We start from the raw sequence: 14,137 nt of genomic DNA, 5'->3' as shown, positions 1-14,137 counted from the left end.
TTATTCAGCGAACATGACTGAGCACCTACTTTGATATTGTGACTTCCTGGGCCCTACTGAGGGGAGCTCACCCCAGCCCAGCAGGAATCCCAGAGTACAATAATGGCTGGATATTTAAGCACCACACATGTAGGTTGTATTGTTGTTAGTATTATCCTTGCTCATTCACAGTAAGAATTATGAACAATAGAGAGATCTAAACCAGCTTCTTATCCTTTCCTGGTTTCTGAGCCTGGTTGCAGGCTTATGTCTCACTATGCAGCCTCTCCCCAGCTCCTCTGTAACAGCACTTAACACTCTGGATTGAAATTGTCGATGGGTGTCTTCTTTTAGGCTGTAAGTTCTTGGGGGCAGGGACCATGTGTAATATATATGTTACTCTCCCTATCTTATCAAGGCCTCTCAGGGATTCTAGCTCAGACTAAGCAAATGTGTGCCTAACAAGCAAAAAGCCAGAATCAATGAGTTGATCTAACCTTTCTTGAGAACACTGTAGGAAGTTATTTCTTGAAGGTATAGGAATGAATAAGGCTCAGCCCTCCCAAGGAAATTCCATCCTTGCTCCTCTCACAGCCAGGCCAAGCACAGGAGCTTAATGCTGTGGGGGCTGTCATAGTGACATGTGTAGGGGGCTTCAGCAGGCAGGGAAGCACCTGACTCCATGTGCAGGGGTCAAGAAGAGGGAGAAGGAGTTGCAGCAATCAGAGTGGGCACCACGAAGAAAGCAGTGTGTGAACTGCCTGCAGCCTTTGACATGGGAATCCCAGCCTACTGGACTGGCTGTTTTAATGGCTTTCTCCCTTGCTTTCTTTTTCTTTTTTCTTTTTAAAAGTAAAGGCCAGAAGGGAGAGAACCTGGGGGAGCAAACCGTTAATGAGAGCAGCTGTCACTGACCGGCTTGTTCTCTGGTGCCTGGCCCTTTAATGTGAGGTGACAGTGGGGGATGGGTGTTTGCACTGAAGGGTAACCCTTTGCTGACTGTGCCCTTCTGAGCTTTGCTCTCAGCAGGAGGACAGCCCGCGGGGGCCTGCTGTTGTGGTTCCTTCTTGGCGCCACTGCCCTAATTGGAGTCCCCTGCACCCCCAGTTAAAAAAATTAAAAGGTTGGGGGATCCTTACTAGCCTTCCTCTCTTTTATATCCTAAAACATGGGCCATAAGCAATTAGACAGAGCGTTCGGGAGGACTATGGCTTATTTCCAAGAAGTGAAATGAAGGTTCTGACTTGTGTCCTGTTTGGCTCTCGCTGACTGTAGCACAGTATAGGAATTTGATCCTAGCGTTTACAAAGCACCTACTCTCTGCTGGTACCATTCTGATACTTTACCCATTGTCTTCCTTTTTTTTTTTTTTTTTTTTTGAGAGTCTCGCTCTCTCACCCAGGCTAGAGTGCAATGGCACGATCTCGGCTCACTGCAACCTCTGCCTCTCAGGTTGAAGATTCTTCCCCCTCAGCCTCCCAAGTAGCTGGGATTACAGGCACCCACCGTCATGCCTGGCTAATTTTTGTATTTCTGTAGAGATGGGGTTTCACTGTGTTGGCCAGGCTGGTCTTGAACTCCTGACCTCAGGTGATCCGCCCGCCTCAGCCTCCAAAAGTGCTGGGTTTACAGGTGTGAGCCACTGTGCCCAGCTGCCCACTGTCTTCTTTTAGTCACATTAAGCCATTGTACTACAGCCATTTTACAGAAGTAACTAGCTCAGAGAGGTAACTTAAGTCATCCAGGGTCAGAGAGCTAATAGACAGCTGCACCACGATTCTCATGGACTCAAAGCTATGCCCTCTGCACTCTGCAAGGAGAAGGGGTCCCTGAAGCTGAAGGCCCTGCAGTTAACCCGAAACAGAAGCTCCATAGTTAGCTGCTTAAAGAGTATCATTTAATTGTGTCACGGAGTCCTTCCTAACCCTTTGGGTGGATCCAGTTATTGCTTTGAGTTTGAAAGCCTGATTTACAATGTAAAGATGGTTTGGAAAGGGGTGATAAATCTCTTTCCCTGCCTTTTACTCACTCACCTGTGAACATGCAAGAACAGGGACTCAATCTTACCTATCATTTTTCTCCAAATGCCTGACACCCAGCCTTGTGCTCAGTGGGACCTCATGGTCCAGAATGGCTTGGAATCGCAGCACTGAGAGATTCATTTCATTGAAGCCATCTGAGAGGCCAGGACAGGGAAGTGCCTGGAAGCTGTGGCTACTGAGAATAAAAGTTTGGAAATGTTCAGCTGGGAGGAAAGAAGGTAGTGTCTTTTCCAGCCGTAAGCTCCCAGGATTCTGTTGTCCTGGGTTTGATTGTGAGGGAGACAGAAGCAAAGCTCAGGACCCTGGATTGAGGAGAGATGGGTAGATCTGTGAGGAGGTGTGGGGAACCAGAGACCATGTGATGAAGGCACCAGGTGCCTGGGAGAGGGAACTATGAGTAGGATGACAGGCATCTGCCTCATGGGTTTTGCAGCTTTATCAGGGTTGTGCAATGTAGCTGTCACGTGCCAAGCAGGAGTCTGTGACCTCTGCTCTGCTTGTGCCACATGACAGAACTCTTCCCCACGAATCAGGGCCGCTGTCCCAGGGAATGCCAGGAAGGAGCAAAGTTCTCTTCTTACTCACAACTATGGCTGTATTGAATGGTTTTTGAAACACAGAGACATCACCTGAGGTTAAGAGGATTGATAAAAAAGCAGCATGTATGGCACAAAGGCCACCACTTGAGGTGCCAAGAAACACAGAATCCATTTTCCAGTCTGCCAGATAACCTCCTGAGCCAAGCCTTTACGGACTCCCTGTTAATTGAGTTGTAATCTTCGCTGACATTTGCTGAGAGCCCAAGCACTCAGAGAGAAGGTAGCAAAGCTGGAGTTGACCCCAGACAGCCTGACACAGAGCTGGCACTCCAAGACCCAGGCTTTGGCAGGTCTCCTCTCATCTCTCCACCCCTTCACCTCCCGGCATGTCAAACATTTCAATATTTTCCAACACCTGAGTTTCTGTATTAGATACCTGTCCCCTTTGATGGAACACAGTTCCAGTGTCACCTCATCTCTGATGAAACCTTCTGTATTAGCTGCCTCTGGCTGCTGTAACAAATTACCACAAATTTAGTGGCTTAAAAGAATGCAAGTTTCTTTTCTTACAGTTCTGGAAGTTGGGAGTTGGAAAAGGGTCTCACTGAGCTAAAATCAAGGTGGAACACATTCCATCTAGAGGATCTAAGGGGAGATCTGTTTTCTTGCTTTTTCTAGCTTTCTGGAGCTACCTGAGTTCCTTGACTCATGGCCCCATTCTCCACTTTCAAAGCTAGCAGCATAGAATCTTCACTTCTCCCTCTCTCTCTCACACACACATATACTTTCTCTGGCCTTTGCATCCATTGTCACACCTTCTTCTGTGACTTTTGTCCTTTTGCCTCCCTCTTTTACAGATGCTGGGACCACCTTGATAACCCAGGATGATCTCTCCATCTCAAGATCTTAACTTAATCTCATTTTATCATGTAGCATCATTCATTGCTTCTGGGACTTAGGATGCGGGCATCTTTGGGGGACATTGTTCAGCTTTCCACAACTTCCCCAGTCCCTGGAGACAGTATTGTCTCACTTCCTTCCAGTCCCCCATGGCCTTTTGCACTTTCTTCCTACCATGGCTTTAGGCCTCATCTACTCATGGCCTGCTCATATGTCTGTCTCTTCAGCTAGATTGTGGGTGCCTTAATAGCAGAATCCATGGCTTAACCTTCTGATTATTTATTCTCGGTATGTAGTACAGCAGCTGACACAATAGGTGCTTCATCAGCATTGGGTAAATGGTGAATGATGAATTAGCTTGTGGCTTCAGGCCAGACACTTCCCTTCTGGGCCTAGTTTCCTCACCTGTGAATTGAAGCTGGAGGCCTTGTAGCTCCATGACCTTTGTGCACAGACATTCTATGGCACAGCTGACTTTGTAGTAACTGACTGAGGTACAGTGCATTAACCCTAGAATGCTGGTTCCATAACTGCAGAGCCTTAGGCAACAGGCATGACAGCCGAGAACTTTTACCTGGGTCTGTTGAGGGTAGATCCTGTCACAACAGGCAGACTTGTCTAGACAAAAATCACATGTCAAATGGAAGTCTGGTTTCCTCCTCCATTGCTTACTAATTGAATGCTTTCCAGAAAAGGAAGACAATGGAAGCCAGCACAGACAGAAAACCTATACAGTGTCATGAACTCAACACAAAGACACAAGCACTTAGGGTCGGATAGGCCTGCCTGCACACCTTCAGAGATCTGGACAGAGGTACACAGGACAAAGGAGAAGGCCACAGCCCAGATAGACCATGAGGTGCATGGGCAGACCCAATCGTACTCAGAACCACAGACACACATAAACAGACAGACGAATAAAAAAAAAACACAGGCTCATATTGGCTCTCCCAGCCCCCTCCCGCCTACACACTCACTAAGTTACCCCTACCAAAGATGTGAACTTTACAGTTGGACTCACACAGGGACTAGGACGAAGGAACAGACATCGGTTCATTTCCTGTCTGGTGACAACTTGCATATCTGGTCACCTCCTCCCTGACCCTCTAACAGATGGCAAATTAGGGGCCCCTGGGAGGGGTCAGGGGAGGGCCCGGCTGCCATTGCTGTGGGTTCAGCAGAGGAAGCAGCTGCTCATGGATTTCGTAAATACACAGCAGAGTCTTTCCTGGTTTTCCTCTTCCCGGGGGTGTGGCTCCGCTTGCCGTTGCTCTTTTGTGTGCTGCTATCTTCCTCCAGATGTAGGGAAGGGCGAGGGCGTTCTTTGTCTCTGCCCCAGTGAGGTGACCTTGGGAAAAGACACCAGCAAGAATGCCAGTGTGAAGAAGAGTTCAGCGATGACAACCCCTGCAAAAGGAAACTGCAGTGCAGGGAGAGGCCAGGACACGCCCAAGGACACATAGTAGCAGAGTAGGAACCAAATCCCCAGTTTCTTGATTCCATCTAAAGGGCTAAACAGTAAATTCCAAGCATGCTTAGCCATGGATTTGCAAGGCCTCTTCCTTCTCTAACAGGAGAGAGTCCCATCTATTCCCTTCTGATTTACTCCAGGGCTGCCTGGGCACAGGGGAATGGATGAAATGAGCTCCCAAACCTCTTCTGGCCCTGCAGAAGTCTAGCTCTTTGCCCAGTAATGTGACCTTGAGGTAATCTGATCTTGCCACTGCTGGCCCCCACTCTTAGGCAGGCAGAAACATGGATGTGGGAGAGAGAAGGAAGCAAAGAAATAAACTTTGGCCGCCAATAGATAACGACACTATCTTTGTAGTACTCTACAACTGTTCAAAATACAGTTGACCTTGAACAACATGGGGACTAGAGGTTCCGACCTCCAGCACAATAAAAAGTCCAAATAGAACTTTTGACTCCCTCAAAACTTAAAACTACTAACAGCCTAATGTTGATTGGAAGCCTTACTGATAACATAAACAGTCAATTAACATATGTTTTGTATGTTTTATGTATTATATACAGTATTCTTACAATAAAGTAAGCTAGAGAAAAGAAAATATTATCAAGAAAATTATAAGGAAGAGGAAATATATTTACTATACATTAGGTGGAAGTGATCACCATAAAAGTCTTCATGCTGGTTGTTTCCATGTTGAGTAGGCTCACGAGGAGGAAGAAGAGGAGGGGTTGGTCTTGCTGTCTCAGGGTTGGCAGAAGCAGAAGAAAATTTGTGTTTAAGTGGACCCATGCAGTTCAAGCTCATGTTATTCAAGGATCAACTGTACTTATAAAACTTCCTTTCTTGTTCCCCTGCTAAGATGGATGAGCTGACGAAGCAGAGGTTCAGAGAGGAAGTTATATTCCTGCCACTTGCTAGGTAGGCTGTCAGGGCAAGTCACTTCACCTCTCAGCCACCTTTTCCAATCCCATGAGGTTGGGATGATAATGCCTAACATGATTTTTGGATTGAGGATTCAGAGAATTAAAGATACATCATGCTTGGCACATGCAACATATTGATTGTGAATTGTGCGTTAAGTACTATGCTTTGTTTAAAGATTCAGAGCTAAAAGGAGTTGGTCCTTAAAGAGCTTATCTAGTGCAGTAGCTTTCCAAGACTTGACCGCCATCTATAATAAGAAATACACTTTATATCATAACCCAATAGAGGCACCCACACGTAACTAAAACAAATATTTCACAAAATAAGACTTGCCCTTACTGTGTGAGAAATTCTGATATTTTCTATTAACCTTCAAAAATGCTGGTGGTAACCACCTAGTTAGTTGATTTTGTAGCTTGCTAATGGCTTGAGAATGATCTAGTAGGAATAGACATGTAAACAGACAAGTATGATAGAAGGGCACGGCTGCTGGGATGGGATACACTACTGAGGACAGTGGGGTTACAAGAGAAGGGGTGATTAATTCTTCTTGAGGGTGTTGGAAGACTAGAAAGAATTTTTAGAGTAGGTAATTATTTAAAAATGAATGGTCATTTGCTGTAAGATACAAAAGATAAGGAAGGGAATTCCACGCAGAAGGAATACCATGAAGACATGGCGATGGGTGAGAACATGATATGTTTTGTGACCCTAGAAATGCAGAACAACAAAACTTGGGGGATAATGGGGAGAGGTGACCTCAATGAATAGTAGCCTCATTCTCCCTTTCAGCTTCAAAATTGGATGGTTTCTGGGAATGGGGTCCCCTGCCTTTGTTGAGCCTTGGTCATCTTTGGGTACTATGTTCCTAAGCTCCAGCTCCTACTGCATTTAGCACCCCATAGACAGAGCTGTCAGTCCCCTGGGTACTCCTTACCAGACACCCTCCCTAATAGCCTATGAATATTTTCCTGGAAGGTTCCTTGGCATAGATTCCTGTTCTCCATCAGTATTGCCCACAACTTTCTTTAAAGGGCGGGGGCGGGTCTTCCTATGTTGCCCAGGCTGGCCTTAAACTCTTGGGCTCAAGCCGTCCTCCCACTTCAACTTCCTGACTAGCTGGGACCACAGGCACACAGCAGCATGCTCCGCAAAATTGCTCTCAACTTTCTTTCCTCCTCTAAACCCTCTTTGTTCATTTTGTGGGACTACTTTTCTTCACATTCCTCAATAGCAGTGATGATGTGAATAGTCCTTCATAAGGCTGGGTGCGTAGTGGCTTACACCTGTAATCCCAGCGCTTTAGGAGGCCAAGGTGGGTGGATCACTTGACTTCAGAAGTTCAAGACCAGGCCAGCCAACATCCCGTCTCTACTAAAAAAATACAAAAATTGGCCAGGTGCAGTGGTGCACACCTGTAATCCCAGCTACTCGGAGGCTGAGGCACAAGAATACTTGGACTGGGGAGGTGGAGGCTGCAGTGAGTGGAGATCGTGCACTGCACTCCAGCCTGAGCGACAGAGCAAGACTCTGTCTCAAAATAAATAACTGAATGAATGAATGAGTAGTTCTTCATAGCTACAAAGTGTTTTCACATATATTCCATGTAAGCCTTACAGGAACCACAGGTAGGTGGATTTTTTTTGGTTTTTTTTGGAGATGGAGTTTCACTCTTGTTGCAGGCTGGAGTGCAATCACAGCTCACCACAACCTCCATCTCCCAGGTTCAAGTGATTCTCCTGCCTCAGTCTCCCAAGTAGCTGGGATTACAGGCGTGTGCAATCATGCCCAGCTAATTTTTGTATTTTTAGTAGAGACAGGGTTTCTCCATGTTGGTCAGGCTGGTCTCGAACTCCCCACCTGAAGTGATCCGCCCACCTCGGCCTCCCAAAGTGCTGGGATTACAGCTGTGAGCCACCGCGGCCAGCCGGTGGATTTTAAAAATAACATTTCCACACAAATACAGGGCAGACCCATCATCTGCAACTATAAAACCTTTTAATCTTGTATAAATTCAAGACAAGTGTAACAGCTTGGATCACACACCAGTAGAAATTTTGGGACTATATTCTGCTGTCTGATTTCCAGTGTCACACTCTTTTCCACCTCATCATTTTCCCTCTCAGTTATACTAGGAAGTCACTCAACAGAAATGCTCACAAATTCCCAGTGCCAAAAGCCGCTGAAAGCCCTTTATTGAGGTCAAAAAATAATGATTGCAGTTGGATAATCCCATCTAGTTAAAAAAAAAACGGCTGCCAAAGATGGCTTTTCTTTAGATAGCACTTACTGTACTTAGGGCATGAGGGTGAGCCAGGTCCCAAGGCTTTCTCCTCCAAAGAGGGTTATTCCTTCCTTAATCCATGAGATTGTTCAGTATGGTAGACCAGAAAGCTAAAAGGAAATCCCAGGGCCAAATCACATGGGAATGCATGCAAAAGGAGCAACAGCCATGGTCTTTACGCTCACATGGTGGAGCTCTATTAAGAGCTACAGTTTTTGAACTCTGAAAACAGGGATGACTCAACACGATCCATGCCCTTGAGTAGCTAGCTCAGTCTAGAAGGGGAAATATGACACAGCATTTAAAGCGTCACGTATCAAAGCCTACGGCCTAACACTAAGATGGAAGGTTATTAAAGTTCAATATGGGTACCAAAGAGAGAAGAGAAGGGTGGTTCAAGAAAGGTAATGTTGTGCCCAGTGTAGATTGTCTAAGACACACAGCCATGCAATGGCAGATCTAGGATTTGAGCCCATCTGTTCATCTCCACAGATTGTCCACTAATGGCTCTTTTAACTGTACTCTGGATAACAAATAACTGTAGTGTTTGCTAAAATGCAGATTCCAGATTCTCAGTAGGTCTTAGATGGGCCCAGGAATCTGCTATTTCAGGAAGCTCCCAGGTGATTCTGAAACAGATGGTTTGAGGACAACACTTTAAGAAATACCAGAATAGATGATGCTCAATTTTCTTGAGGTTCTAAGATTCTAAAATTCTTCTGCTTTTATAGTTATCTACCCTTTGCTAGCATTTTAGCTCAATGTGTTACGTAAGGATGGGATTCCTATTTTCAAGGAGTTCACTTACACTCAGGGACCCTAGGAACATTTAAAGGATAATTTTATTGTCATAATCTGCCCTTAACAAAATTAACAAAATGACCCTCAAAATTTGCTGATTCAGCCATTCCTAGCAATGAAAGGAGGAACCTGGCTACCTACCAGACTTCTTATTTCTGGTGTACTTGGTTCTTGGTGACCTCTAGGCAGGCAGCACCCCAGCAGGGCTGGACTGTGTGTGCTCCCTGGAAGGCTGACATTTCCGGAGTGTGAATGCTGGCAGTAAGACATCGGAAGCATCTTCCTCTTTGAGTGTGCCAACTCTTGGCCAAAGATAGCTCTAGAAATTGTAAGAACTTTGAGAGCAGATTCTGTTTGTCCTATAGAAAACTCCCATCAGCATATTGCCTCTACATCCAGCTAGAATGTGTCAGATTTCACATGTTCATTCATAGTCTCAACCACTCTTTTTTCCCCCCTCTCTTTTTATCTTTTTCCAGTTTTTTGTTTGTTTTATCTCTTCATCACGGTGAATGGGGTTCTTACAGCTTAGAGTTGTCTTGTTTGTGTGTACTCATGCTCTTGAAGGAAGGGGCTACATTGTCCACAGTGCTTGGGTAAATTAGATCATATTCCACCCTGGGATCACAGAACAGTTTACTCCTTTTGACTCAGGAGGAGGTCAGAATCACTTCCCCACAGATAAATCCATAGAAACAGAAAGTAGATTGATGGTTACCAGGGGCTGGGGAGAGAAGGGAATGGGACATGACTGCTTAAAGTTTATGGAGTTTTATTTTGGGGTAATGAAATGTCTTGGAATTAGATAAAAGTGATGGTGGTACAACACTATACAGTACTACATGCCACTGGCGTGGGGGGCAATCACTCCCCCAAGACAATGTCACAGGCATAGGAAAGCAGAGTTATATATATTTCTTTCCTAGCATAGTTATCAAAATTTTAAGAGTTTTTATGGGAATAAGTGCAAAGATTTCTAGAGTTGAAAACAGAACTAGAAAGAAAAACATTGCCTCCCTCGCACACATACCCACCCCAAACATATAACCTCTATCAGCTGCAGTCCTGTCCTCAACATTTCAAAATCCATCTCTTCTTCTTTGTCTTTACTGTATAGGTGTTGTTCAGGACTCATCCTCCCCTAGACTCTGTAATCCCTGCCTCCAGGCTCACTGCATGCTTTTTGACTCCGTCTCCATTTTAGTTACCAACATGATTTTTTTTTTTTTTTTTTTTTTTTTTTGTCTGAGACAGAGTCTCGCTGTCTCGCCCAGGCTGGAGTGCAATGGCACCATCTTGGCTCACTGAAACCTCCGCCTCCCAGGTCCAAGTGATTCTTCCACCTCAGCCTCCCGAGTAGCTGGGATTATAGGCACCCACCATCATGCCCACCTAATTTTTGTACTTTTGTAGAGAGGGGGTTTCACCATGTTGGCCAGGCTGGTCTCTAACTCCTGACCTCAGATGATCCACCTGCCTCAGCCTCCCAAAGTGCTGGGATTTTAGGCGTGAGCCACTGCACCTGACCTCCAACATGATCTTAATGCAGGTCTTTCCAACATGTTGCTTCCCTGCTTTCACCTTGACAATGATTCCTAGGGCCAAAAGAATGAGATCTGAACTTTTAACATGTCCCAAGACGCTTTTCAATATCTAGTCCTCTCCTCTCCAGCCTCTTTGACTGCTCCGCCTTAGATATACTGAGCTTCCTGCAGCTCCTGGATGTGCTGTACTCCCTTTCTCCTGTACCTTTGCACACACTATTCCCTTTGCCTATAACATCCTAGCATTCACTGCCTGGTTAACTCCTCCTTATCCTTCAAAGCTAAGATCAAATAGACAACCTTTAGGAGAAGCCTTCTAAGGCCTGCTTCCCACTCCCCTTCAGTCTGGGTTAAATGCCACATTCTCTGTGCTTCCTCAACACCCTTGCTTCCCTCCATCATAATCCTTAATATGCTGTATTGTGGTCATCTGTTTACCTGGCTGTCTAACTCATTGGCCTATAAACTCCTTGAGGGTAAAAGACTGTCTTATATATATTCATCTTCATATTTTTGGAGTTTAACACATAGCAGGAATCCAATAAGTATTTATTGATTGCATTCATTCATTTTCCAAAAAAAGAGTAATTTATAAAATTCAAAGAATTGGAGAAACGGAATTGAAAACAAATGTTCTGCGCATCGTAACTTAGATCTCTTCTCTGTGCTTAGGGTATAGTTTTTCTTGTTTGTTGGAACTGTATTTATTGTCCAGTGTGTCCTTTCACACAGCAGAGATCTGTGGAGTAGGATTGTGGGCTGGCAGTGGGTTTATCCCACAGACCTAAGACAGCTACTTAATTTGTATAGACCCTTCCCAGCCTGGGCCTCTGGGTTTTCCTTCTGGGTGGAGATCATCTTCTGTAGGAAATGGAACTGCTTCAAGCCAAGAAGCTTTTACTTTTACTAGGTCTTTTTGTGTCCTGCTGTTCAAATATTAGGAAGACTGAACCCTGTTTCGGTCTTGACAGTATTACGTTTCGTGATCCCAAAAAAAAGTGTTTGTGTAACCTCAAGTCATGCTGAAAGTGAAATACAGCTTAAAGTGGGATTCTGCTGGACCTGACTCAACTTTTCACCTCACCGCTTGGCTCCGTGCAGGCAGTATTTGAGTATGTGGTTCCCCCTCAAGTCTGTAGGAGTTGTATTGTCAATAAAGTCCAAGGCCAGAGTGCTTGCTTTCTAGTAAGTAGAGAGAATTTTTGAAATTCAACGACAAACATTTATTAAGCCCTTATTGTGTACAGGGCTCAAAGCTAAGTGCTTTGGGTGATTCAGGGTGATTAGGGATAGGATTCCATCTTCAAGAAGCCTCCCATCTAGGAAGAAAGGTCGATAAGCATAGTTTTGGACACACGGGAGAGCATGGCTTTCTCTGGGCCCAGTAATTACTTTGGTATCCAGATCATTAGAGAACGGAATGCCTTCTATTGAACTATGTAACAGTCACAGGTTTAGATCTTCTCAAGTTATTATTGCCTTTAATCTTCATATGATTCCTATCCTGCAGTTAGGAAATGGAAACCCTAGGATATAGTGACTGTGAGCTCAGAAAATTAGGTTGGGAGATAAGCCAGTAGATTGAGGTGGTAGATTCTTCAAGATCTTGAAGGGGGGAAGGTGGGGGGGGGGGACGGGGGAGCTGTCCCCAGCTATATTTGCCCTTGGCAGATGGGATGGATTCTGGGAGAAAGCTCTAAGAAATTAGGCCTGTACGACTTATTTTCATGAATCTAGCTGCTAAGCTGGAATAAGTGAAGTTAAAAGTAGTGATGGGCCAGGCACGGTGGCTCACACCTGTAATCCCAGTTCTTTGGAAGGCTGAGGCAGGCGGATCATGAGGTCAGGAGTTCCAGACCAGCCTGGTCAGCATGGTGAAACCCCGTCTCTACTAAAAATATAAAAATTAGCCAGGCATAGTGGCACGTGCCTGTAATCCCAGCTACTCAGGAGGCTGAGGCGGGAGAATCCCTTGAACCTGGGTGGCAGGGGTTGCAGTGAGCTGAGATCGTGCCACTGCACTCCAGCCTGGGTGACAGAATGAGACTCCGTCTTAAAAAAAAAAAAAGAAAGTAGTGATGGGGAGGGATTGATCAAAACCTCTTCCTCTGAGACAAAGTGAAGGATAAAGGGGAGGATAATTTTGAGCTACAGATGAGGACATTGTTGTCTGTACCTCTCAGATGATAACATCATTTTAGTACAAAAAGAAGTAAGGCCACTGGGGGAGATAAGGGAAAATGTGGAGCTGGGGCTGGGGCTGGGCCTGGGGCGGAGAAGAGTTGAAAAGTTTAATTATCTTCTCATTGAACTTTAATCGAGTCTGTTTCCTTATACTGGGGACACTTGAAAACAGTTTCCCAAACCAACTACAAAGAATTTTCTGGCAGGGGAGCCTAGAGCCTACTGGCAGGTTGTGCACAGATCTTTTCTTTCCTGATCCTCAAGTTTGACTCTGACTAGGAGACAAATCTTTTGGTACCATGGTTTTCACTGTTCAAACCTCCTGACAAAAGAAAGGGAGAAAAGACTTAACTTTTTCCTTTGCAAAGTGGTACATCAATAGCACTCAAACTGTGAATGTATTAAGATGTTACACTTCTCGGCTAATATTTCATTTTCTTGTAGTAGCATAGAAATAGCCTAGCTTTTTTTTTTTAACAACAAAATAATACTTATTATATGTTTTGGTAGGTAATATATGCAATGGGTACAAAATTCAAAAGGTACAACAGGTTTTACAGTGACCAGTAAATGTCTGTTTCACCTTTGCCTTCTAGCCACCCAGTTCCCTTCTCTTGAGGTAACGAGCATCACCAATTTCTTGCTGTGATTTTTATAGCACTTTCTTGATTGCCGTGTTGCTACAGAAGGGACACTGTGAAAATGAGTTTAACAAATAATTCAAGTCCCTACTGTGGCCAGGCCCTGGATCGCCAGAGCCTTAGTTTTGGTAAAATCTTATTAAGAACTTCATTTTCTTGCCTATAATGTGGCCAGAGTGAAACCACAGTGCTGTCATTAGTAGTGAGCACATTACCATCTGCAGGACAAAGACTCATCAATTCAGAAGGCTGTTGGGTGTAGAAACTTTGATAGTGTTTTAGTCGCTATTTTGAAATCCAGCCAAGTGTTTCCTATTAAATTACATGACTGATAGCTGCCGCTTATGGTTACTTAGTAAAAACTCCTGTTGCTAAATGGCTCAAATGGATGTCTGTGTGTTTATTTTGCCATCTAATACAAAGCATAAATTTTTCTTACTCCAGTAGCTCATCAAACCCTTGAATCTTTCATCATAAGCACATTGAGGCAGGAACTATGCCTGTGCCATCCTCACACCTTTGCAAGTGGCACTCAATAAATGTTTCTCAAGTATTGTTCAGACTCAGTGAGGTCACATCCCCAGGAGGAAAAAGGACGCTGGGAATGAGTGATACGAGATTTGTCATTAACCGTTCCTCCACGTTTAGTTGCCAACTTTCTCAGCAACGAGAACCTGGTTTCTTGACCCCCGTCAAATGGTTGATATCACTAAGTTTTCAGGAAAAAGTAGTTACCACTGCCTGACTTCAGCTCTTGCTGATAGGAGTTCATGTTGGCTGATCTTTTTCGGTTACACCCTGGATTCCTTTGTGAGGAAAGGGAAAGTA

General features: G+C 44.7%; 1 protein-coding gene across 1 annotated transcript in view, besides 1 other annotated feature; it reads left to right on the top strand.

The window, feature by feature from the left end:
- The window catches only part of PLPP3 (phospholipid phosphatase 3), an 84,803-nt gene that overhangs the window by 68,373 nt on the left and 2,293 nt on the right, over window positions 1-14,137 (top strand). The window lies entirely within an intron of this gene.
- Window positions 506-1,236: an enhancer, noted in NCBI's record as "H3K27ac-H3K4me1 hESC enhancer chr1:56975627-56976357 (GRCh37/hg19 assembly coordinates)". NCBI's record gives its function as "activates a minimal SCP1, AML or CMV promoter by ChIP-STARR-seq in naive H9 embryonic stem cells {active_cell/tissue: H9 hESC(naive)}" and the evidence as "EXISTENCE:reporter gene assay evidence [ECO:0000049][PMID:30033119]".

The sequence above is a fragment of the Homo sapiens genome, chromosome 1 (assembly GCF_000001405.40).
Source record: "Homo sapiens chromosome 1, GRCh38.p14 Primary Assembly".
Taxonomy (NCBI): Eukaryota; Metazoa; Chordata; class Mammalia; order Primates; family Hominidae; genus Homo; species Homo sapiens.
Note: the sequence above shows the minus strand (reverse complement) of the source record. Positions and strands in the feature narration are given on the sequence as shown.